The sequence below is a fragment of the Homo sapiens genome, chromosome 4 (genome assembly GCF_000001405.40).
Source record: "Homo sapiens chromosome 4, GRCh38.p14 Primary Assembly".
Lineage (NCBI taxonomy): Eukaryota > Metazoa > Chordata > Mammalia > Primates > Hominidae > Homo > Homo sapiens.
Window position 1 is genome coordinate 477,410 of NC_000004.12, and position 25,388 is coordinate 502,797.

Here is a 25,388-nt window from a genome sequence, read left to right on the forward strand (position 1 = left end):
TTGTATTTTTAGTAGAGACGGGGTCTCACCATGTTAGCCAGGATGGTCTTGATCCCCGGACCTCGTGATCCGCCTGCCTCGGCCTCCCAAAGTGCTGGGATTACAGGCATGAGCCACCGTGCCCGGCGCATTAATGAGTTATCTCATATCACCAGGAAGTAGTTACAGAAGACCCACAGTGCCCCTAGACTCGAAGATTTTTAGTCTCAACCTATTGAGGAGGGAATGTTAGAGTAAGCCGATAGTTTAAAATGAGCAGAAAAAAGAGCCCCTGGGGAAAGAAAATTTCATGCTCCAAAGACCAAACAAAACATGCATGCTAAATTTGAGCAGAGAGGAGGGGAAATACCTATAAAGAAAGAACACCCTGATACACCCCTAAGAGATATGCGGGCACAATAAATATGGATTTGACCGCTATATGACCTTCCTGGGGTGATAGTAATAAGCAATGCTGCCATTAGATAGGACTGCTATAGATCACAGGAACCCATGCATGTATGTCAGCTGACAATAAGGAAGCATCTCACAGACCTGGGCAGAAACTAAGTGGGGACAAAGGCAAAGATTTACCACAGAAGCAGGAACCTAGACAAAGACAAAGGCAGACACTTAAGACCGATGTGGAAATTTTTTTAAAATGCAAGATAATAAAAACTGCAACACGGAACTCTCAGGGCAGTTTTCAACTGGACCAGCCGACTCCTCTTGTAGTGTACTTTATTTTCCTTTAATAAACTCTCTGCTTGTTTCATTAAATTGCCTCTTGGCTGAATTATTTCTCTCAAGAAGACAAAAATTAAGGACCTTGCACTTCTTGGTAACGTGTTCCTCCTCCCTCAGCTCTTGACAAACACCATTCTACTTTCTGTTTTTATGAGTAGACTACTAAAAATATTTCACATAAATGAAAGTATATACTCGCTGTTACTTTGTTTTTTTTGCATATTTCTCTTTACATGTTGTAAAGATTTACCCCTTTTCTATAGAGATGCACTCTCCCTGTGTTGTCCAGGTTGATCTTGAACTGTTTGCCTCAAGAGATTCTCTCTCCTCTCTCATTTTTTTAACTTTCCCAGTTATGTGGATTACAGGCATGAGTCATCACACCTAGCCCTCAAGGTTTATCTTTATAATAGCATGTGACATAATTTCCTTTTATAAAATAGATTTTCCATTGCATGTACATTCCATTTTAAAAATCCATTTATATGTCAAGGGTTATGTAAGTAGCTTCCAACTTTTGATTTTGGAATAATACTGTTTATGAACATGGGTGTGCAAATGTCATTTCCAGTTCCTGCTACGCATACATAAATAGATAAGTAATGTTTTGTACATTGTGCAAAGGAAAGGTCTGATTTTTTTTTTTTTTTTGAGATGGGAGTCTCACTTTGTCGCCCAGGCTGGAGTGCAGTGGCACGATCTCAGCTCGCTGCAACCTCTGCCTCCCGGGTTCAAGCGATTCTCCTGCCTCAGCCTTCCGAGTAGCTGGGATTACAGGCACCCACCACCATGCCAGGCTAATTTTTTTGTATTTTTAGTAGAGACAGGGTTTCACCGTGTTGGCCAGGCTGGTCCCAAACTCCTAAGGTGATCTGCCCACCTCGGCCTCTCAAAGTGCTGGGATTACAGGTGTGAACCACCGCGCCCGGCCCAAGTTAATTTTTAAAAATTTCAATATTGAGTTTTTAAATACCTTTTGTTGGAGAGTCAGCCCTTTCCCCATTGCTTGGTCACGATAACAGCCATGCAACTCCAAGATGAAGCTGCTGCTTCTTCCATTTCTGTAGCACACAGTCACGAATGTGTTTAGATCTCCCCCTGGCAACCCTGGTTAGAGTGTGGGGATGGTGGAAACCATTGGATCTTCTGACTTCCTTGCCCGGGAAGCAGCCAGCCCTGCCTGCCCTACCACCCATGACATCATGCACGTGGTGGTCCTGTCACCCAGCCCTCAGCCAGCCACTGCCTCTGGCTCCCCCAGAACACCTCCTCCTTATTCTCATGGTTGGGCACATGGATCCCTAGAGGCACAGAAACAGCACAGATCCCTATATCCTGCACAGGTGAAATAAGAAGGTGTGGAGGCTGGAAGCAAAGCTATGTGCCTCCTGGAGAACAGGACGTTCAGGGACCAGGGGGCTGCAGGCACAGATTACAACAGTGACAGATGCAAGGGCCCTGATGAGAGGGGTGATGGCCTGAGGGCTCCTTTGTTGGCATGCACCAGTGTGCCAGAGGCTGGGGCCTACACCGGAGCCTGCAGTTGCCCTCCAAAACTCCAGAAGCAGTGCTCCTGCTGTCCCACCCCATGTGCCACCAATGCTCCATGTGGCCTTGTGGTCTGTGAAGCCAGAGGATTGTGCCAGTGTCTTCCTGAGAGTGGAGGTGCTTGCTCTCTGAGGCACCTTTTTCAAACAGTTCTGATTTAAAACATCTGCCCTTCATGTGTGCACATATCCATTTGGAAATCTATGGGGATTCTTTTTCAGTAGTAGGTCTAGGTTGTATACAGGATTGTTTGGGTGAATGCTTTTCTCATTCTTGTTTGGTAATTTCGTATTTTTTTTATGGTAGGTTTCTTGGTGTCAGTGTATTGTGTGTTTGGTTTCACCTGGGTATGGTGATTTTGGATGTCAGTGATTCAGGATGTCAATTTGGAACTCTACAGAAACACTTTAAGTCAATGTGGGGCTGAATTAAAATAGGAATATGCCATATTCATCACCAATCACATTATGCATGTATTTGTCTTCCTCTAAAAACATAACCCCAACTTTCTGCATGGCTTATCTTGTCTATTTCTGTTCTTGGCTTGTGCTGAAGGTTGTTTTACCCTGTTGAGTCAAGTAGTCATAAAAAGAATATTAATTTCACTATGTGCTTTTGGATGAATCTAAGTGATTTTGTGGGAGCAAAACACTTTTGTAATTTGAATTTAGGAACACTTTCTTATGCTGACTCTTAAGTACTTATTTCACAAATTTTTAACTGTCAGAAAAACTCAAAACATTGGTCATCTTTTATTTTTTAATGTGTACAGTTTAGTAGTGCTAAGTATATTTACATTGCAGCAAACCTCTAGAACTTTCACATCTTACAAAGCTGAAACTAAATACCCCTGAAGCATTAACTGCCCCTTTTACTCTCTCTCCAGCTTATGAAATACATCATTCTACTTCCTGTTTCTGTAAGTTTGACTACTTGAGATAGCTCGTATAAATGGAATTATATGAGCTTTGTCACTTTGTTTCTGGCATGTTTCACTGAATGTCCTAAAGTTTTATACTTTCTGTAGCATGTGCATAATTTGCTTTCGGAAGGTAGAGCCGTATTCCACTGCATGCATATGCCACATCTTCTTTATCCATTTATCTATCAAGAAACTTTTAAGTAGCTTTCACCTTTTGTGGGGGGGGGGGGAATGCTGTTATACACATGTGTGTGCAAATGTCCATTCCAGCTCCTGCTTTGCATACATAGATACCCAGAAATGGAATTGCTGGATTGTATGACAATTTCATTTTTCTGATAGCATCTTACTTTTCCACACAGGCTGGAGTGCAGTGGTGTGATAATGGTCACTGCAGCCTTGACATCCTGGGCTCAAACAATCCTCCCAACTCAGCCATCCAAGTAACTGGGACTACAGACACAGGCCACCACACCTGGCTGATTTTTGTATTTTTTGTAGAGATGGGGTCTCACTATGTTGCTCAGGCTGGACCCAAACTCCTGAGCTCAAGTAATTATCCTATCTCAACCTCCCAAAGTGTTGGAATTACAGGCCAGAGCCACCACACCCAGAGGCATTTTATTTTTAATATTTTGAGAAATCTCCATCCCAATTTTCTTGGGGGCTGCATTATTCTCTTCCACCAACAGTGCATGGGGGTTCCAAATGCTCTGTATCCTTGACAACATTGACTCCCTTTTTGTGTTGAATAGTGGCCATCCTAATGGGTAAGAGGTAAGAGCTCACTGGGATTGTGCTTTCCATTTCTCTCAAAAACTAATTTTGATTATTTTTTCAAATGTCTCTTGGCCATTTGCATAGCTTCCTTTGGGAAATGTCTTTGAAGACCTTGGTCCATTTATTAAAAATCAAGTTATTCACTTCTGGCTGTTGTGTTTCAGAAGACACATCTTTGTTCTTTTCTTTCTTTTTTTTTTTTTTTGACAGTCTCCCTCTGTCGCCAAGGCTGGAGTCCAGTGGCATGATCTCAGCTCATTGCAACCTCCACATAAGGAAGAAATTGCAAGTGATCTATTTGACAGGAGTTAACATCCATTCCATTATCTTTTTAAGTGTTTCACTGTCAAGTCAGGAAGGCAGTAAAAATGCCCTTCAGCAGTTGAACACAGCGTCCACCTTTGGCTCAGTCTCACAGACAAACACCCAGAATCTGTGCTTCTCAGCTGTGGTGCCTGTGCAAATGCTGGAACTCAAAAGAATATTTGGTAGTAGACACGCATACGCTGCCTAATAAAATTATGTAAGTTTAATATAAACAGAACTTAAAACGTCATATAAAATGTTACTTAATTTGATCAGAAAACTGAGTTAGATTTTATAAAGGCATTATATATAATTTTAATAGGAAACTATGAAATTTATGTGCACTTGGTGTATAAATGACCGAATTTTGGGCGAGTCAGTAAAGGTCACATATGACTGTGAGACATTGTTGATGAAATGCTCCCACAGGTCGCATATTGCACATGCATTTTGATTTGTTATTTTATCTGAGGTCGATTTTCCTTTTTTGAAATGGAGTTTTGGTCTTGCTGCCCTGGCTGGAGTGCAATGGCGCCATCCCGGCTCACTGCAACCTCCATCTTCCAGGTTCAAACGATTCTCCTGCCTCAACCTCCTGAGCCACTAGGATTACAGGCATGTGCCACCACACCTGGCTAATTTTTTGTATTTTTAGTAGAGAGGAGGTTTCTCCATGTTGGTCAGGCTGGCCTCAAACTCCTGACCTCAGGGGATCCGCCCACCTCGGCCTCCCAAAGTGCTGGGATTACCAGCATGAGCCACCGCGCCCGGCCCAATTTTTCTTAATTTTATTCATCAAGTTGTTTCTGTTTTTGTTTTTTTTGAGAGGGACTCTCACTCTGTCACCCAGGTTGAAGTGAAGTGGCGTGATCTCGGCTCACTGCAACCTCTGCCTCCCAGGTTCATATGATTCTCCTGCCTCAGCCTCCTGAGTGGCTGGGACTACAAGCGCCCGCCACCATGCCCAGCTAATTTTTGTATTTTTAGTAGAGACGGGGTTTCACCATGTTGGCCAGGCTGGTCTCGATCTCTTGACCTCGGGATCTACCCGCCTCAGCCTCCCAAAGTGCTGGGATTACAGGTGTGAGCCACCGCGCTTGGCCTTATTCATCAAGTTTTATACACTTTAGACAAAGAGGGCTTGTAGTTACCATGTGCTCTATGGATCTGTACTTTGTTAGAAATACACATTTTCAGGCAAAAACCCAGATATATTGTATCAAAATCTGTATTTCAAATATTTCCAGGTGATTCACATGCACATTAATAATTGTTAACTGGTAGTAATTCTGTAATTGAAAGGGAAACGCTTATACAGATGTACTGATTTGTCAGACAGGTACAGTAATGACTGTATGTTTCGATGCATATACATCTTATCTTACAGAAAATGAAAATAATAAAGTGGGGATGGGGAAGGAGTTGAAGTAGAAATTAAACAGAAATGAGACATAATTAGCAGATGTTCAGGTGGAGCATCAGCCTATTATACTATTTTGGTTACTGTGTATAAGTTAAAAATATTCTCTAATAAAACACTTGTATAAAAAGACAAACAATCTATAACATTGCCTCTTGGCTGGGCACGGTGGCTCACGCCTGTAATCCCAGCACTTTGGGAGGCTGAGGCAGGTGGATCACCTGAGGTCAGTTCATGACCAGCCTGGCCAATATGGTGAAACCCCGTCTCTACTAAAAATACAAAAAAAATTTAGCTGGGCATGGTGGTGAGTGCTTGTAATCCCAGCTACTTGGGAGGCTGAGGCAGGAGAATCCCTTGAACCCAGGAGGCAGAGGTTGCAGTGAGCCAAGATCGCGCCACTGCACTCCAGCCTGGGTGACAGGGCAAGTCTCCATCTCAAAAAAAAAAAGAAAAAAAAATTAGCTCTTAAGATTGTGGTTACATTTGGGGAGGAGGAAAAAAGAAGAGGAAGTGGTTTGTGGGCAAAAACGGGTAGTTCTAGTCTATAGCTACACAAATGTATTAGCTTTGTTATAATTTATTGAGCATTACATTAATCCTTTACTGTGGATGTATTTCTGTATGCATGTTATACATCAATAAAAATCGAAATATTACATATTTAATCCTAACATAATATTTCAGAATAATAGCAATGTTCATTTGTTTGTTTGTTTGAAATGGAGTCTTGCTCTGTCGCCAGGCTGGAGTGCAGTGGCACGATCTCAGCTCACTGCAACCTCAGCCTCCTGGATTCAAGCGATTCTCCTGCCTCAGCCTCCCGAGTAGCTGGGACTCCAGGGATGTACCAGCACACTCAGCTGATTTTTGTATTTTTAGTAGAGACGGGGTTTCACCATGTTGGTCAGTGTTATGGGAAGTCAGGGGCCCCAAATGGAGGGACCAGCTGAAGCCATGGCAGAAGAACATGGATTGTGAAGATTTTATGGACATTTATTAGTTCCCTAAATTAATACTTTTGTAATTTCTTATGCCTGTCTTTACTGCAATCTCTAAACATAAATTGTAAAGATTTCATGGACACTTATCACTACCCCAATCAATACCCTTGTGACTTCCTATGCCTGTCTTTACTTTAATCTCTTAATCCTGTCAGCTGAGGAGGATGTATATCGCCTCAGGACCCTGTAATAATTGCATTAACTGCACAAATTGTACAGCATGTGTGTTTGAGCAATATGAAATGTGTGGCACCTTGAAAAAAGAACAGGATAACAGCAGTTGTTCAGGGAATAAGAGAGATAACCTTAAACTCTGACCACCGGTGAGCCGGGCGGAACACAACCATGTTTCTCTTCTTTCAAAAGCAAATGGGAGAAATATCGCTGAATTCTTTATCTCAGCAAGGAACGTCCCTGAGAAGGAGAATACACGCCTGGAGGTATAGGCTTATAAACAGCGCCCCCAGGCATGGCCATCTCTTATGGTCGAGGCTGCAGAGATGAAATAGACTCCAGTCTCCCATAGTGCTCCCAGGCTTATTAGGAAGAGGAAATTCCCACCTAATAAATTTTGGTCAGACCGGTTGATCTCAAAACCCTGTCTCCTGATAAGATGTTATCAATGACAGTGGTGCCCGAAACTTCTTTAGCAATTTTAATTTCACCCTGGCCCTGTGGTCCTGTGATCTCGCCCTGCCTCCACTTGCCTTGTGATATTCTATTACCCTGTTAAGTACTTGAAGTCTGTCACCCACACCTATTCGCACACTCCCTCCCCTTTTGAAAATCTCGAATAAAAACTTGCTGGTTTTTGCGGCTTGTGGGGCATCACGGAACCTACTGACATGTGATGTCTCCCCCAGACACCCAGCTTTAAAATTTCTCTCTTTTGTACTCTGTCCCTTTATTTCTCAAGCCGGCCGACACTTAGGGAAAATAGAAAAGAACCTATGTGAATATCAGGGCAGATTCCCCAATAGGTCAGGATGGTCAGTGATCTGCCTGCCTCGGCCTCCCAAATGGCTGGGATTACAGGTGTGAGCTACCACGCCCAGCGAGTATTGTTTTGCTTGAAAGGGAGCATTTACACTCAGGCATCATGAGATGGGTATTAATATTCCAAGGTATTTATTCTTGCCCTGACCCTTGGGAGTCCCCCTTAGTCTTTCATTTTTTACCTCAGTTGAGTAAATATCATGGTTTCAGTTTTGGGGAATGCAATTTCTTACAGCAAAGTCCTTCCTCCACAATAATATTCACCACGGTCAGGCCACCTAGCACAGTGGGCTTAGTATGTGTGGAACTGGTTTGAATCAGGAGCAAAACAAGCAGTAGAGGTGAGTAGAGAACACAGGCGGGACTGAAAGGCCACAACTCAACAGTGGTGAGTAGAGAACAAAGGCGGGACTGAAAGGCCGCAACTCAACAGCAAACACTTTTCACATTAATTTGAGAAATATTATTTTCAACTGGTCCTCCGAAAGATGTTGGTTTACAGCAGACATTTGGGAGCATGGTTGCATATTGTAATCACCTGGAGAGCCTAAAATCGCCATTGCCTGGGTCTCACTCTAAAGATTCTGGCTTAACTGGCGCACGCCTGTAATCCCAGCACTTTGGGAGGCCGAGGCGGGCGGATCATGAGGTCAAGAGATCGAGACCATCCTGGCCAACATGGGTGAAACCCCGTCTCTACTAAAAATACAAAAACTATCCAGGCGTGCTGGTGCGTGCCTATAGTCCCAGCTACTTGGGAGGCTGAGGCAGGAGAATTGCTTGAACCGAGGAGGTAGAGGTTGCAGTGAGCTGAGATTGTGCCACTGCACTCCAGCCTGGCGACAGAGCGAGACTCCATCTAAAAAATAAATAAATAAATAAATAAATAGATAGATTCTGGCTTAATTATTCCGTTGCAACTTAGATTTGGGAACTTTAAATACCACCACCCACATGCACAGCAGGCTATTCTAATATGCATCCAAGGGTAAGAAGCATTGATTCAGGGTGAGAAATGCATTGGTTGAGTGTGATTTCTTTTTTTTTTCTTTTCTTTTTTTTTTTTGAGACGGAGTCTCGCTCTGTCGCCCAGGCTGCATGCAGTGGCGCGATCTTGGCTCATTGCAACTTCTGCCTCCTGGGTTCACGTGATTCTCCTGCCTCCGCCTCCCGAGTAGCTGGGACTACAGGCGTCCGCCACCATGTCCGGCTAATTTTTTGTATTTTTAGTAGAGACAGGGTTTCACCATGTTAGCCAGCATGGTCTTGATCTCCTGACCTCATGACCGCCCGCCTTGGCCTACCAAAGTGCTGGGATTACAGGCATGAGCCACCGCGCCCGGCCTTAGTTGTGTGTGATTTCTATGTGTGCTCTAGGCACTTGCCCTATAGTTGCTCCTAAATGTGGGGTCTTAGAAAACATCTTGGCTCTTCAAAGCATACTCTGCTGGTCGGCTAAATTGCACTGGGAAAAAAAAGCAGCAGCCCTATTGCTATGTCATTTGTCTACAGAGCAAAAGTTGATTCAGGAACAGTAATTTGACTTTGTCTATATTAAAAATCATAAATAGTCAACAAATACAAAAAATACAAAGAGTTTGCAGATATGATCAGTGCATTATAGGTGTTTTCAAATTTCTCCTATGATAAATTAAAAATGTAATGTTGGACATTAATTTCCTAAACCCAATGCTCAGCAATTTTCTCAAATTGTTTCGCTTTTCCCAAGAGACTTCAGAACCATTCCCTGGAGTGAATTATTTCCAATGGTGAAGAGTAATGGATGGATGGGATGACATTCTCAAAAAAATCTTGCTCCTATTTCAGAAGTGTCACTCCAGCCCCTTGAAGGTCCAGGAAACCTGGCTGAGTAGTGTGGTCTATGGAGGTGCATGGGCTTCAGAGTCAGGCCAACGTTGATCCTGAGTCCCAGCCAGCTGCTTAGTAGCTGTGGGATAGTTATACAAGACACATCTACAAGAAAAGTCATGATAAAATTGATTGCAAAAACAGCAATTTGAAAAATTTCTTATTGTATTCATGTCCTTGGAAATGGCTTTTATAGTCGTTCCTATCAAGAGACAGATTCTGTTTCCCAAACTTGAATCTCTTATTTGCACTGGCATAGTGTGCCAGTTTGGGGCCCAGGTTTAAAGTTCCTAAATGCTTCTGTTATCTTTTTCAGAATTCTTCCATCTCTATGACAACAAGCCCATTTTAACTTTCTGGAGAATAAAGTAGCATGCTGAGGAAAGCCAAAGTGCCTCAGTTTACAGACAGCTCACTCCCAGAAGCGGAGCCACCTAATTCACCAGCATCTGACCACTCACACCTGAAGGAGGCAAACTGAGCCCAGAAGAATGGCCCAGCTAAGCCCAGCCTAAATTTCTAACCAGCTCAATCCTGAGCTAGTATGTTTTGGGATTGTTTGTTATGCAGTTATAGCTTAGTAATATATACACCCATTAAAGACAGGATTCCAGGATTCCAGGACAAATTGATTACAAATGACCTGCAAATGCTTGGCACCCTGTAAGTATTGATTTTCTTTTTTCCTTTATTTAAAGTTAGATTTGTTTTAAGATGGTATTGACTTATACAGAAGTGAGGCAGGAGAATAGGGTCTGGAGACAGGGAACTTAAGGCCAATTCGTGCTGACTTCCTACAAGAAAAAACACCAAGGTCTGGGAGCAGGGAACCTAAAGCCAGTTAACGTGAACTTCCTACAACTAAACCAAAAGGAAAAACCTCATCTACACCCGAGTAGCAAAGGATCGAAGGCGACTGTCACTACAACCCTCCCCCTTGTACCAGTTCTCTGATAGAAAAGGACAGTGCCTTGGAGTGGCCGTGGGCCAAGCACAGACCATGCCTTCATCTGCATGGGGTACCAATTCGCCTCAGCCTTTGATTAGCCAAGGACAAAATCCTTCATTCAGATAAGGGGTAGCTGATAGGAACCTCAAAAGGAGTACTTAAAACCCAGAAAACATTATAACCAGGTCCTTGGGCTGCTTGCTGGGGCCCACACCCACCCTGTGGAGTGCTTTCTCACTTTAATAAATTCTTGCTTTTGCTGCTTCCTTCCCGTTTTTCATTCCTTTGTGCTTTCTGTTCAATTATTTGTTCAAAATATCAAGGACCTGGACAACTCACACTCACGGTCTTCCTTCTGGGAACAGAAGTGCAGGTACATGTGGATGTATGTGATTGGTGCTTAAACTCACGCAGTGCCCCACACCACAGGAGAAAAACACACAGTTACAGCCTGACAGGTCCAAAGATAAACAGCAAAACAAGAAGTTTGCCTTTAATCTATTCCCTCCACATCTAAACTCTGGAGGGCAAGGCTGTGAGGAGATCTGAAGACATGGTGGTCTCTCTTCCTGTGGACCCATCATTCCTTGTTTACTGTATGATATTTAAAAGAAAGAGGAAACCGGGCGCAGTAGCTCACACCTGTGATCCCAGCACTTTGGGAGGCCGAGGCAGGCGGATCACAAGGTGAAGAGATTGAGACCATCCTGGCCAACACTGTGAAACCGCATCTCTACTAAAAATACAAAAATTAGCTGGGTGTGGTGGTACACACCCATAATCCCAGCTACTCAGGAGGCTGAGGCAGGAGAATCACTTGAACACAGTAGGTGGATGTTGCAGTGAGCCGAGATCACGCCACTGCATTCCGGCCTGGCAACAGAGCGATACTCCATCTCAAAAAAAAATAAAATAAATAAAATAAAATAAAAGGAAGAGGAACCCCTGAGAGAGGAGGCAGTCAGAGGCTGGTTAGGAAGATAGGGAGGGAGGGTCTCAGGAGAGGAAAAACACCCAAGGGACCACACCTGCACTACCCCAGTAGCTAGCGGGAAGAAATGTGATTAAGAACTTCCTCTTATGCCAGGATATTGATCAGAAGGGACTGTCGCAACTTAGGCCTAGGTGTAATAAATGAACCTAAATGTCATTAACTTGACCCAGCTCCTTATAATGTTACTGACCTATGTATTTTGGTTTTAGCTTCACCCTTTCCACCCGCCGTGGGTTTCCCTTGGGCACTCATAGGTAATAACCAAGATGGAGTCACTGTGGTCAACCCCAGGCATGCTCAGATCCAACACCCTTAGGGGAGAAATTGACCCCTCCCATTTGGGCAGAACCCACAGAAGACTTCCTTATTCTTGCCACATAAAAGACCCAGAACTCAGCCCCACTTCTGGCAACCCGCTTTCATGTCCCCTCTTACTGCTGAGAGGTTTCCTTTTGCTTAATAAATCCTACTCTGCTTTACTCACTCTCTGGTGTCTGTATGTCTTATTCTTCCTGGTCATGGGAAGAGAGCCCAGACCTGGCTGAACTGAGACCACCACACCGGCACCAAACAGTGACTGGGAGACCATGGTCTTCACGTGGACACTCTCAGCTTGCAGCCCCTGCTCTCTCTAGGGGCACTGTCCCACCCACCCTTGAGCCTGAGGAGAAAAGTTGGTAGAGAGGCTGTTCCCTCACTTCCAGCAGAAAAGACGTGTTCAGGCCCTCACTTTCTTGAGGTCAGAGCCCTCATGGCTGCACTCAATGTGGCAGCCACCTGACATGTGTAGCTACTGGGGAGGAATGTAGCTGGTTTGAAGTAAAATGTGCTGCAAATGTAAAATAGTGAGTTTAGAAGAATCAGATCAGAAATATACCTTATTTCTAATTATATATTGATCACGTATTAAAACAATAATATTTTGGGTTTTTAAATTTAATTGTATTTATTTATTGAGACAGAGTCTTGCTCTGTCGCCAGGTTGGAGTGCAGCAGTGTGACCTCGGCTCACTGCAACCTCTGCCTCCAGGATTCAAGCAATTCTCCTGCCTCAGCCTCCCAAGTGGCTGGGACTACAGGCACATGCCACCATGCCTGGCTAATTTTTTGTATTTTAGTAGAGATGAGGTTTCACCATGTTGGCCAGGATGGTTTAGATCCCCTGACCTCGTGATCCACCCACCTCAACCTCCCAAAGTGCTGGGATTACAAGAGTGAGACACCGTGCCCGGCCAACATTTTGGATACAGTAAGTTAAAATTATCACAAACAGCCGGGTGCGGTGGCTCACGCCTGTAATCCCAGCACTTTGGGAGGCTGAGGCGGGCAGATCACGAGGTGAGGAGATCGAGACCATCCTGGCTAACACGGTGAAACCCCGTCTCTACTAAAAATACAAACAATTAGCCAGGTGTGGTGGCAGGCGCCTGTAGTCCCAGCTACTCAGGAGGCTGAGAATGGCGTGAACCCAGGAGGCAGAGCTTGCAGTGAGCCAAGATTGTGCCACTGCACTCCAGCCTGGGCAACAGAGTGAGACCCGTCTCAAAAAAATAAAAATAAAAATAAAAAATAAAAAAATAAAATTATCACAAACAATTTCACTTGTTTCTTTTTATTAGTTTTGATGTGGCTAATAAAAAATGGAAAATTCACAAATAGCTAACATTTTATTTTTTAGAGGTTTGCTTTCCTCTTCAAATCTCAGGTGTCCTACTCAAAACACCACAGGCCAGAAAGGTTATGAAATGTAAAACATTAAAATAATTGTCATTATATTGTTTCCATTTGTGAACAAGTGTGTGTGTGTGCACGTGTGCATGCGTGCACAGTTTATAAGTGGATGTAACCTTACACAGCAGAAGGTTAAAAATGAACCCTGTGCAGGCTGGGCGCGGTGGCTCATGCCTGTAATCCCAGCTACTTGGGAGGCTGAGGCAGGAGAATCTCTTGAAGCCGGGAGGTGGAGGTTGCAGTGAGCCAAGATGGCGCCACTGCACTCTAGCCTGGCAGGCAGTGCGAGACTACATCTCAAAAAAAAAAAAAAGAACAGGAAGGAATGTTTGTTACATCCACCCACCACAGCTCTTCCTCCTCCTCAGTATAGCACTGTGCCATTAGGAGTAAACTGCCAACTCCTGTCTTCTTCCTTAAAAGAGAAGAAAAATACTGACACGTGCATCCTTACTTCTGGCTTTTGGGGGCTTTACAAAAACTGATTTTGGGGCTGGGCATGGTGGCTCACACATGTAACCCCAGCACTTTGGGAGGCCAAGGCGGGTAGATCACGAGGTCAGAAGTTCGAGACCAGCCTGGCCAACATAGTTAAAGCCCGTGTCTACAAAAAATTAGACGAGTGTGGTGGCAGGTGCCTGTAATCCTAGCTACTCAGGAGGCTGAGGCAGGAGAATGGCTTGAATCCAGGAGGCGGAGGTTGCAGTGAGCCAAGATCGTGCCATTGCACTCCAGCCTGGGCAACAGAGTGAGACTCCATCTCAAAACAAAACAAAACAAAAACTGATTTTTGCCTCCAGTAACAAAGAGTGCTGAAACAAATGGTGATACACTTTGGAAGGACAGCTCGGCTCTGCTAAGACCAAATGTAAATGTTTCAAGAGCAGACTGAAATGTTAAATACAGGCAACAGGTAGAGCAAGTAATTAGAGACTCTTAAGAGGAAACATGAACAAACCCTTTTAACTAAAAAATAAACACAAAATTCCAGACAAGACACATCCTTCCAACATGTATGAGAGGTTCCCATAATCTCTATCAAAGACAATTGGCTTCAGACTACGTCATGACAAAGGAACATTGTGTTTAAGATTTAGCAGGACTTGGTGTCCTTTTTAGACCCAGGACTGAAAGCCATGTAACTTAATGTCACAAGTACTTTAAAAGCACATACAGAAAGATAAACGGATGTAATAACCTTAATTAAAAAAAAAATTAGGCCAGATGCAGTGGCTCATGCCTGTAATCCCAGCACTTTGGGAGGCCAAGGCAGGCAGATCACGAGGTCAGGAGATCGAGACCATCCTGGCTAACACTGTGAAACCCCATCTCTACTAAAAAAAAAAAAATACAAAAAATTAGTCGGGCGTGGCCGGCGGGCGCCTGTAGTCCCAGCTACTCGGGAGGCTGAGGCAGGAGAATGGTGTGAACCAAGGAGGCAGAGCTTGCAGTGAGCCGAGATCACGCCACTGCACTCCAGTCTGGGTGACAGAGGGAGATTCCGTCTCAAAAAAAAAAAAACAAACAAACAAACAAAAAAAAAACCTTAAATTTCAGTTTTTTCCTAAGCAAAATCAAACTTTATAACTGAATAGAAATTATTTCAATAAAACATAAAATCTGTCAGGCCAGTTACCAAAAGGCAAAAGAAAAAGACCTTCTGCAGTGCACAGAATATTATGTTGGAAAAAAACATTCCCGTTAGACCTCTAAGAAAATGTATCTTTTCAAAGGGTAGAGAAAGCCAAAAAATGGCAAGATGCAATAAAAGCTGAACTTCAGGTTAAAAAAAGTTAAAATCTCTTATGATTTATCAAGAGTAAATCGATCCCTTAAGAAAATTTCATTTTTCTAACAAATAATTTAGTGTATAAGTGTTTTTTTACACCAAGCCCAATCTCTAGAAAGAGCATTATAATTTCCCTTTAAAGACAACTTGATCATATAAAAGTTTTGGGTTTTTTTTTTTTTCATAAATCCTTTTATTGTGACTTACACAGAACATTCATGACATGTTTGGATTTTCTGGTTTGTCCTGAACATCCCTCTTTCTTAAACAGTCATTTTATTCTAGGTCTAAATTTACTATACAAGATTCTTTCTCATATAAAATTATTTTTCTTTAAGCCTTCTTACCAAAAAAAAAAAACAAAAAACCTCACTTTATTTTTGTAACTTTATTTACATCTTTCTTATTTCATGGTTCTTTTACCTTGTTTTACACATAACCTTTAAATAAGCTTTGAATTAGACAAAACTTATTCACCTTTTTAAAAAGGTTACACTTTTTTTTGGGAAAGGTTTTCCTCCAATACATTTTTATTGGAAAATACCCAAATAATGAAATATCTATTATTTAATATAGCTTTATATTCTAAATTATGACCAGTTTGTCCACAAGTATTTATCACATTACATTTACCTATTTTAATTGTTTACCTAGATTATTTATGATAACTGTGGTAGTCATAATTTAAAGTTGTGAAACCGCCATTGCAAAATTATAACTGAGACAGTAAAAAAAAAAAAAAAAAAATATGGCCTAACAGATTCCATTTTCCTTTTAACCTCCAAACTGTCCTTGTTCATTCCTAGGCATAGGCTGAACTAACTTTGGGAGGAACTTAGTTTATAGTTTAACTTTAAAACAAAGATGGTAACAGTCCTTTCTCAAAACAAACCTCTCTACTCCCTGTGTACTACACTGCCTAAAGCCACAGGATTAGAACGTATGGTAATCTAGGCCAGATGCAGTGGCTCATGCCTATAATCCCAGAGCTTTGGAAGGCCAAGGCAGGTGGGTCACCTACGGTCAGGAGTTCAAGACCAGCCTGGCCAACATGGCGAAACCCTTTCTTTACTAAAAATACAAAAATTAGTGGGGCATGGTGGTGCACACCTATAGTCCCAGCTACTCAGGAGGCTGAGGCAGGAGAATTTCTTAAACTCAGGAGGTGGAGGTTGCAGTGAGCCAAGCTCATGCCATTGCACTCCAGTCTGGGCAACAGAGGAAGATTCCATCCCCCCCGCAAAAAAAAAAAAAAAAAGGTTATGGTAATCTTACTAAATTCCATATGCAGCTATTTTCATTAAACCAATATCAGTGTCTCATTTATTAAAACTTACACAGGCAAAGATCAAAAGATCATTCTGTTTGGGGCTGGGTTTATAGTTTTGTAACTTCTATGCCAAATTTTGACAACTTATAGTATTTGGCAGGGATAATTATAAAATTGCTTGATTAATAAATGCAAACAAAAAATGTCTGCTGGTAATTCTTAAGACATTTCTAATATTACTTTGCCAATAATTTTAAAGCTAGCTTATTTATTGAAGAATTTACTTAAGTGACATAAACTTCAAAAAGCATTTGACTAGTCTTTTCTTTTTTCCTGATAAAGTATTTAAGTGCTTTTATTTTTCTTTAAGCCAATTAATTAGAGTTCTTTTATATATTTTCAGTAGTGAAACACTATATAGACAATACATAAACACATAGACATATTAGGCATGCCAATGGAAGTACATCTTTTTTTTTTTTTTTTGAGACGGAATCTCGCTCTGTCACCCAGGCTGGAGTGCAGTGGCGCCATGTCGGCTCACTGCAAGCTCCGCCTCCTGGGTTCACGCCATTCTCCTGCTGCAACCTCCCGAGTAGCTGGGACTACAGGCGCCCGCCACCATGCCCATCTAATTTTTTTTTTTGTATGTTTAGTAGAGATGGGGTTTCACCATGTTAGCCAGGATGGTCTCGATCTCCCGACCTCGTGATCCACCCACCTCGGCCTCCCAAAATGCTGGGATTACAGTCGTGAACCACCGCACCTGGCTGGAAGTACATCTTATATATTCATAAAGATTCAATTTTTTTCCTATTTTAGACTTTCAGATTATTAATAACTGGCTTCACAACCCCAGGCAGTTGTCAGCTAAGTAGTCTTACATTTGCATAAGAAAGGAAACAACTCAGGTGAAAATCAAATAGCAAAATTTTCATCATAAGGTATAGAGAGAAAAAGTCTGCTGGTGCTAGAGGGAGACAGCTTTATTTTTCTTTGAGCCAAATCAAATATAAATTATAGAAATCTATCATAGGATTGTATAAGGAGACCAGTTTTATTTAGATAGGGACTACTGGATCTCAGAGCTCTAGGGAAAGCCCACACTGAGTCCTGGGTCTCCAGAAAAAGGGAGAATTATTTTGAGGTTAGACCATGTGATGCTTTTACAGTGCACTTATTTTTTTTTTTTTTTTGAGACGGAGTCTCACTGTCGCCCAGGCTGGAGTGCAGTGGCGCCATCTCGGCTCACTGCAAGCTCCGGGTTCACGCCATTCTCCTGCCTCAGCCTCCGGAGTAGCTGGGACTACAGGCGCCGGCCACCATGCCCGGCTAATTTTTCGTATTTTTAATAGAGACGAGGTTTCACTGTGTTAGCCAAGATGGTCTCGATCTCCTGACCTCGTGATCCGCCCACCTTGGCCTGCCAAAGTGCTGGGATTACAAACATAAGCCACCGCGCCCAGCCTAAATTTTTTTTTAACAAAGACATTTTTGTGTGTCTAAACTACATACTTCCTTAAAAACTCAAGAGCAGCCTGTTGCAGTAACTATTTTAGTCAAAAAATCAGGTGAAAACAGAATTCAGTCAACTGAACAAAAAAAAAAACTTTTGCTCAAAAAAAAAAAAAAAAAGACAAGGTCCTAGGAGAGAAAAACAAAAACCAAAAACATGAAACCTTCTAAATATAAACATGCACACATACACACCCAATTCTTGGATGTTAGCCTTTAAAATTGACTTTTTTTTTTTTTTTGAGATGGAATCTCTCGATCAGGGGTAGCTTTGCCACAGATTTCAGCAATGGATAAATTGAGTGTGAGATCTCAGGTGCAGACAGAGAAGGAAAAATAATCTTTGTGTGGCAAGTTTTAGAGGAAGTTTGCCATTTCTTCTTTTTTTTTTGAGACGGAATCTCACTCTGTTACCAGGCTGGCGTGCAGTGACGTGTGATCTCGGCTCACTGCAACCTCCACCTCCCGGGTTCATACCATTCTCCTGCCTCAGCCCCCCAAGTAACTGGGATTACAGGTGCCCGCCACCACGCCCAGCTAATTTTTTGTATTTTTAGTGGAGACGGGGTTTCACCATGTTGGCCAGGATGGTCTTGATCTCTTGACCTCATGATCTGCCCACCTCGGCCTCCCAAAATGCTGGGATTACAGGCGTGAGCCACTGAGCATGGCCAAATTAAGCTGACTTTTAACCATTGAGCTCCTTTAAAAAAATCTTTTTAAATCTCATTACCATATTTCGGCCGGACAGAATGCTACTTTCAGAAATACAGCCATTGCTCTTTCGGTTTGGTCTGGCTGGCAAAAAGGTGGCGTTGTTATGTAAATAAAATCCCTTTAGCAGTGAAAATTTAAAAATCTTTTCTCTGTTTTTTCCTTTTGCTGGCCGTTTTCCTCCCCCAACCATACCGCCTTTTTTGTGTGTGGGGGGTAGACGGTTGGGTATTTAGCCGCTTCAGAGGCCTTGTTCCCATAATTTAGAGTTCCCCTTCGGATTTCGCCAAGTCAGAATGTGTGTCGGACCCAAAACGTGCTGCTTGCAGACCTAGCTTTTCAGGGCTGTTACCCCCCGAACTGGTTGGGTTCACCCGTGTGGTGGCCACCTGGCACAGTGTCAGAGGCTCAAGGTGCGGGAGGGGTCACCTCCTTATATGCACCTGCCAGCTGAGATTAGACTCTAAGTATGTTCTTCTGGGGGGGAAACCTATTTAGACCCACTGCATGTCTTAGGCAGCATTCCTCCCAGACACCCTCACGTGATTCTCAGTTGTCTGAGAATGCCCCGAAAAGCTGAGGGGAGGCAGGTGCTCTTATTTCTTCAGAGGGGAAGATTCTACACTCATGAGCTAGAGGGTTTGGAGTTGGTCAAATCCGATAAGGGAAAGGACCAAAACACACAAAAAAAACCCCAACAAGACAGAAACAAACAACAGAACAGGTAAGCAAAACTAACAATGATCACACAAAATACATGACTTCTTTTTTTTTTTTTTTTTTTTTTTTTGAGACGGAGTCTCGCTGTCGCCCAGGTTGGAGTGCAGTGGCGCGATCTCGGCTCACTGCAGGCTCCGCCTCCCGGGTTCACGCCATTCTCCTGCCTCAGCCTTTTGAGTAGCTGGGACTACAGGTGCCCGCCACCGCGCCCGGCTAATTTTTTGTATTTTTAGTAGAGATGGGGTTTCACCGTGTTAGCCAGGATGGTCTCGATCTCCTGACCTCGTGATCCGCCCACCTCGGCCTCCCAAAGTGCTGGGATTACAGGCGTGAGCCACCGCGCCCAGCCTATGACTTCTGAACGCTCTAAGTGTAAGCAGAAATAAACACCAGCTGGTTGTTAATGTTATCTTTAGTCATTTAAAAAGAATTTGCAAGACAAAATTCCAAATCAATTTTCTTACCTAGTGATGGGGCTCAAGCTGAAGACGGCTATCTGTCGATGCAGAAGCAGGCAGGCTTGCCTTCCTTGATGAAGCGAGTGGGAACTCCCAAAAAAGGAGTTTTTTAACAGCAAATAAACCTCAGACCCCCCACCGAAAAACGTTGGAAGATCAGGGATCCCTGGAGGAACAAGGTCCCAGATTTCAGCAATCATCCTACCAGTTTGGGCAATAAGGTGCCAAGCCAATACCGAGGATCAATAGGCGAACTGCTGCAGGCCGGGTTACCTTCACTGAGGATCTCTCAGTGCTTATCAATGTCAATCGAGAAAAATGACAAGTCTTAATCATTTCAGGAGGCTTATTTCCCAAAGTTAAGGACGCCCATGACACAGCCTCCGGAGATCCTGACGACGTGGGTCCAAGGTGGTCGGGGCACAGCTTGGTTGTATTCATTTTAGGGAGTCACGAGATATCAATCATATGTATAATAACAGGCCGGACAGGGCGCGGTGTCTCACGCCTGTAATCCCAGCTCTTTGGGAGACAGAGGCGGGCGGATCACGAGGTCAGGAGATTGAGACCATCCTGGCTAACATGGTGAAACCCGTCACTACTAAAAAATACAAAAAAAAAAAAAAAATTTGACGGGCGTGGCGGCGGGCGCCTGTAGTCCCAGCTACACGGGAGGCTGCGGTAGGAAAATGGCGTGAACCCGGGAGGCGGAGCTTGCAGTGAGCGGAGATGGTGCCACTGCACTCCAGGCTGGGCGACAGAGCGAGACTCCGTCTCAAAAACAAACCAACAAAAAAAAAACAGGCCGGGCGCGGTGGCTCATGCCTGTAAATCCCAGCACTCTGGGAGGCCGAGGCGGGCGGATCACGAGGTCAGGAGTTCAAGAACAGCCTGACCAACATGGTGAAACCCCGTCTCAACTAAAAATACAAAAATTAGCCGTGCGTGGTGGCACGCACCTGTAATCCCAGCTACTCAGGAGGCTGAGGCAGGAGAATTGCTTGAACCCGGGAGGCAGAGGTTGCAGTGATCTGAGATCACGCCACTGCATTCCAGCCTGGGCGACAGAGTGAGATTTCATCTGAAAAGAAAAAGAAAAAAAAAAAAAAAAAAAAAAAAAGAAGGACATTGGTTCTGTCCAGAAAGGCGGGGGCAACTTGGAACAGGGAGGGGGCTTCCAGGTCACAGGTAGGTGACAGACAAATGGTTGCAGTTTCTGGGTTTCTGATAAGCCTCTCCAAAGGAGGCTATCAATATGCATTTATCTCAGTGAGCAGAGGAATGACTTTGAATAGAATGGGAGGCAGGTTTGTCCTGAGCAGTTCCGAGCTTGTCTTTTCCCTTAGTTTAGTAATTTTGGGGCCCCAAGATTTTCCTTTCAGAAAAAAGAAAATGTGGTATATATACACAATGGAGTACTATTCAGCTCTAATAAAAGAATGAAACCCTATCATTTGCCACAACACGGATAAACCTGAGGATATCATGTAAGCAAAATAAGACACAGAAAGACAAATACCTCATGATCTCACTCATGTGGCATCTTTAAAACGAAGTTAATCATTAAGATATTTACCAGTTGTCTGAGGTATTGGGTTGAATTTTCTTTTTTTTTTTTTTTTTGAGACGCAGTCTCGCTCTGTTGCCAGGCAGAAGTGCAGTGGCGCGATCTCGGCTCACTGCAACCTCCGCCTCCCAGGTTCAAGCGATTCTCCTGCCTCGGCCTCCCGAGTAGCTGGGACGACAGGCACCCGCCATCACGCCCCGCTAATTTTTTGTATTTTTAGTTGAGACGGGGTTTCACCATGTTGGCCAGGATAGTCTCGATCTCCTGACCTCGTGATCCGCCCGCCTCGGCCTCCCAAAGTACTGGGATTAAAGGCGTGAGCCACTGCACCCTGCCTTCCAAATTAAAAACTTTTTAAAACCTCGTACCTCGCCGTGGGCGGCGACCGTCGCGGACTCGCCGGGAAGACGGCCCCACGGAGCCGGGAACACCGCCCGCTGTTCGTATGTCCGAGGTGACGCCCCGCTGTGGCGGGCTGGCGGAAGTGACGCGCTGCTGTGGCGCGCCGGCGGACGTGACGCCACTGTCGCTGCGACGATAAGGCCTGGCGTTATTGCTTAGAGGCGGCTACCTGGAGCCGGAAGCGCGGCTGCAGCAGGGCGAGGCTCCAGGTGGGGTCGGTTCCGCATCCAGCCTAGCGTGTCCACGATGCGGCTGGGCTCCGGGACTTTCGCTACCTGTTGCGTAGCGATCGAGGTGCTAGGGATCGCGGTCTTCCTTCGGGGATTCTTCCCGGCTCCCGTTCGTTCCTCTGCCAGAGCGGAACACGGAGCGGAGCCCCCAGCGCCCGAACCCTCGGCTGGTACGGACCCCTCCCCGGCGTCTCCGCTCCCCTGACCCCACATCCCCTAGAAGACCTTTTTTCTGAGCCTCGCTGCTCGGATTTCTTCTCGGCGCTCCCCGGTGGTCTCTTCCATTATGGTCCCCACCTCAGAAATTTTTTTTAACCGCTCCAGCGTCTCTTTTCTGTATTCTTACAACTTTGTGGCAACCACCTCTACTGGCCCCACTTCGACCTTCCTTCCTGATCACCACAAAGTAAGCTGTGTCCATACCTGGGATCCAGCCTCTCCACTTCTACTCGTCCAGAGCTCCCGCCCCTTTCCTGAGCAGCCTTTGGGTCACTCCCCGTTATAGGCGCCCTTTTTGCCCCCTAGCACACAACAGATAAGACCCCTGCCGATCCCCTCGCGTTTTGGTCTCTTATATTCCTCCAAGATGTTTTCCCTGCCTAGGGGCTAAGGCCTCTCTGCGTTAGGCCTCTTCCTAGGCTTCACCTACCCAGCCATATACAGCAAGTAAAGGCGCCCTGGTTCTGGACCACTTGCACACATCGCCAGCCGCTGACCATGTAAACGCAGTATGTAAACGCCCAGCCATCCCGTAGCTGCAGCTCTGCGTTTTAGGTCAAGCTCCCTAAATGTCCCATTCCAGGACCCTTACGTAGGGATTCTCCTACCCCAGTACTCTTCACCATACTGAGGATAATTCACTGCTTGCTACTGTGGGTCCCTAAGATTACTCCTGTTAACCCCCGTCCTTTCCCCCCAGCACTACCTACCAAGTACAAGTCGCCTCCTTTTGGGTTGGGTTATGTAGATATCGCAGGGTATGTGCTGGAGAAGTAGGTAGAAGCTAGATTGTGAAGGTGCTTGATGCTAAGGAAAGTTTAGAGTTCAATTTCCTTTTTTTTCTTTCAAACACTTAGGAGCCAGTTCTAACTGGACCACGCTGCCACCACCTCTCTTCAGTAAAGTTGTTATTGTTCTGATAGATGCCTTGAGAGATGATTTTGTGTTTGGGTCAAAGGGTGTGAAATTTATGCCCTACACAACTTACCTTGTGGAAAAAGGAGCATCTCACAGTTTTGTGGCTGAAGCAAAGCCACCTACAGTTACTATGCCTCGAATCAAGGTAAGTTTGCCTTAATGTTTTATGAATCATGGTTTGGCTGTTTTGAAGATTTAGAGGGGGTCTCTGTAGTCTTTCGCTTGGAGTTGCAATTTTAAGAAAGTGGAAATTTTGTGCTGTCAGTTGGCTGGGGCAATAGAATGTTGAAGGAGCCTCACACGGGATGGAACTGAGACCCATCATTTGTGCCCCATGTCAAGTAGCCAAAGCTCATGCTTCATGGCAAATATAAAAGATTTAGAGCAAGATCATCCAGGCTAACCTACCCCAAGATATGCCATTCTTGGTGACCTGCTTTCTTCTTTAATCGTCACTGGGTCATTTACAATCTTAGAAGGAGCCTTTAGAGTTAATCTAGTTCAGTCTCTAGACTTTATAGATAGGAAAGCAAACTCAGATAAGTTAAATGTGACTTCTCCAAAATTATCCACCAGTATACATAATGATCAAATCAGTATGTTCCGGCCTCAACAATTACCACTGTTTCCACCATATCCTTCAGGTGTCCAGCCTACTGACAGCAGCTTTGAAGTACATAGTGCATTTCCCAAGAACCGTGGGTAAAGAAAAAAGTAAGCCTTTATTGATTGGCTCAAAACTTTTGAGCAACGACTATGTGGTGATACTTCAATGGGTATGCAATTGGGGAAAAAATAGTATCTCTGCCTTCATGTAGCTTTTAGTCTTTAGATATACAGCCACTCAACAAAGGAGCATATGAAAACATGCAGTTGTAAAGTGTGGTTAATGCATGATGAGAAAGAACAGGATGTGATGATTAGTGGGTGAGAAAGCCTGGCTGAGGAAATTGCATTTAAACTGAGACTGGAAGGATGAATAAAGGTGGGGACAGAAAGGAGCAGAGGGGTTGAAGTGTGTGAGTGTATCGCATGTGAGCGTGGCATAAAGTCTCTGACGGAGCCTTAGCTGTGTTGTTGATCATGTGAAACATTATTTGGTGAGAAGGAGCTACTTATTGATTTAAGGCTTGGGGGCAGCCCCATTTGCAGATGCTTGGCAGATGTTCACTGGATGAAAGCAGTCTGAGACTGAAGGAAGCACAGTGCCATATCACTCACTGACTTTTTCCTTGAATTTCTTACTCTCTCTGCCGCATTTCAATGTGATGTGACTTCCTTCAGCAATATTTATTGAGCATCTACTGTGTGCCACACTGTTCCAGACAGGAGGGAGGCAGTGAAGAACAAGACAGCATTGTCCTCATGGAGCTTACTTTCTAATTGGAGGGATAGAAAATCGGTAAAATATGAATCAATGAAGATGGTTTCAGACAGTGACAACTGCTCTGGAAGGAATGGAGAGGGAGGTGAGAGAGAATGAAGGGGAGAGGGGCATGCCCGGCACCTTTGAACACAGCACTCAGAGTTTTTGCCGTCCTGCTGAAACTAGCTGTGGGAATCTGGAAGAAAGACATCCAGCCCCTGATTTTCAGGAACACCGGTTTCTTTATCTGCTCTATCAGAAGTGTGGAAGGAACCCTTTTCTCCTTTTCTTTTAAGATTTAACAGGCAGATTTGAGAAAATGTATAAGTGATTGTGCAGGTTCTAGGTTCTATTCAGACCAGTCCGTTGGCACTGTGGTTCTTGGGGCCTCTGTCTCCAGCTTATTGGTTTTATTTCACCTTTGCTGGGGAGCCTCACCCCAGAGCTAGTGTTTTGTTTCATTTTCAGTCCTTTGAGGATTCTTGCTCCTTATTTCCCCATCAGGGAGGAGCTAGAACAGAAAGCCCATACTGGAGTTAGGATTGTACAGCTCTGGAGTTTGGTAGGTTGGGGTTGGGCAGTGTTGGTTGAGGAAAGTGTCCCCTGCCCTGCCTCCAGTCTGAGAAAGGGCTCAGAGCATCTCCTGGTGTTGATACATTTGTAACCAGACGCCAACCCTGACATGTCCAGTGTGCTTTCACTTGCTAAGACCCTGCAGCAGCTTTGTTTTAAAGTCATGTAACTCATTTTTGAATGCCTTTTCTTTCTTAAAGAACTTTCTGGTCATAATAATAGCTGGCATTGATTGACAGACCTGAGCTTTCCCTTAGATTTCTTAGGACTGTAAATGCAGCCCACTCGCTGTCTGCACGCTTTCTGGGATGAGGGGATGCCAAGTAGTCCCTACCCTCTTTAAAAATATCGGTGGGAACCCAAGCTAGTGTGAGGATGAGGGAGGTGCCTTGTAAAAGCCAC

At 44.2% G+C, this 25,388-nt stretch overlaps 2 protein-coding genes across 39 annotated transcripts in view, besides 4 other annotated features; one reads left to right on the plus strand and one right to left on the minus strand.

Moving 5' to 3' along the window:
- Positions 1 to 21,747, minus strand: part of ZNF721 (zinc finger protein 721) — a 59,169-nt gene extending 37,422 nt beyond the window's left edge. Inside the window, exon 1 of the mRNA NM_133474.4 lies at positions 21,647 to 21,747. The gene's annotated coding sequence lies outside the window, so the exon portion shown is untranslated. The remainder of the gene's footprint in view (positions 1 to 21,646) is intronic.
- Positions 21,033 to 21,898: an enhancer, noted in NCBI's record as "H3K27ac hESC enhancer chr4:492231-493096 (GRCh37/hg19 assembly coordinates)". NCBI's record gives its function as "activates a minimal SCP1, AML or CMV promoter by ChIP-STARR-seq in naive H9 embryonic stem cells {active_cell/tissue: H9 hESC(naive)}" and the evidence as "EXISTENCE:reporter gene assay evidence [ECO:0000049][PMID:30033119]".
- Positions 21,033 to 21,941: a biological region, named in NCBI's record as "H3K27ac hESC enhancer GRCh37_chr4:492231-493096".
- Positions 21,462 to 21,941: an enhancer, noted in NCBI's record as "active region_21128". NCBI's record gives its function as "activates an Ori minimal core promoter by ATAC-STARR-seq in GM12878 lymphoblastoid cells {active_cell/tissue: GM12878}" and the evidence as "EXISTENCE:reporter gene assay evidence [ECO:0000049][PMID:35858748]".
- Positions 21,801 to 25,388, plus strand: part of PIGG (phosphatidylinositol glycan anchor biosynthesis class G (EMM blood group)) — a 40,991-nt gene continuing 37,403 nt past the window's right edge. For 22 of the 38 annotated variants that reach the window (NR_144327.2, NR_144330.2, NR_144332.2 and 19 more), the window contains exons 1-2: positions 21,801 to 22,080; positions 22,987 to 23,192. Coding sequence is in view for 21 of the 38 variants with exons in the window: in NM_001127178.3 (NP_001120650.1) it covers positions 21,927 to 22,080; positions 22,987 to 23,192 (360 nt within the window). In the remaining 17 variants the exon portion in view is untranslated. Of the gene's footprint in view, positions 22,639 to 22,986; positions 23,193 to 23,689; positions 23,762 to 25,388 lie in introns of those variants that run through there. The other 16 variants (NR_144326.2, NR_144331.2, NR_144329.2 and 13 more) reach the window with 5 other exon arrangements.
- Positions 21,899 to 22,762: an enhancer, noted in NCBI's record as "H3K27ac hESC enhancer chr4:493097-493960 (GRCh37/hg19 assembly coordinates)". NCBI's record gives its function as "activates a minimal SCP1, AML or CMV promoter by ChIP-STARR-seq in naive H9 embryonic stem cells {active_cell/tissue: H9 hESC(naive)}" and the evidence as "EXISTENCE:reporter gene assay evidence [ECO:0000049][PMID:30033119]".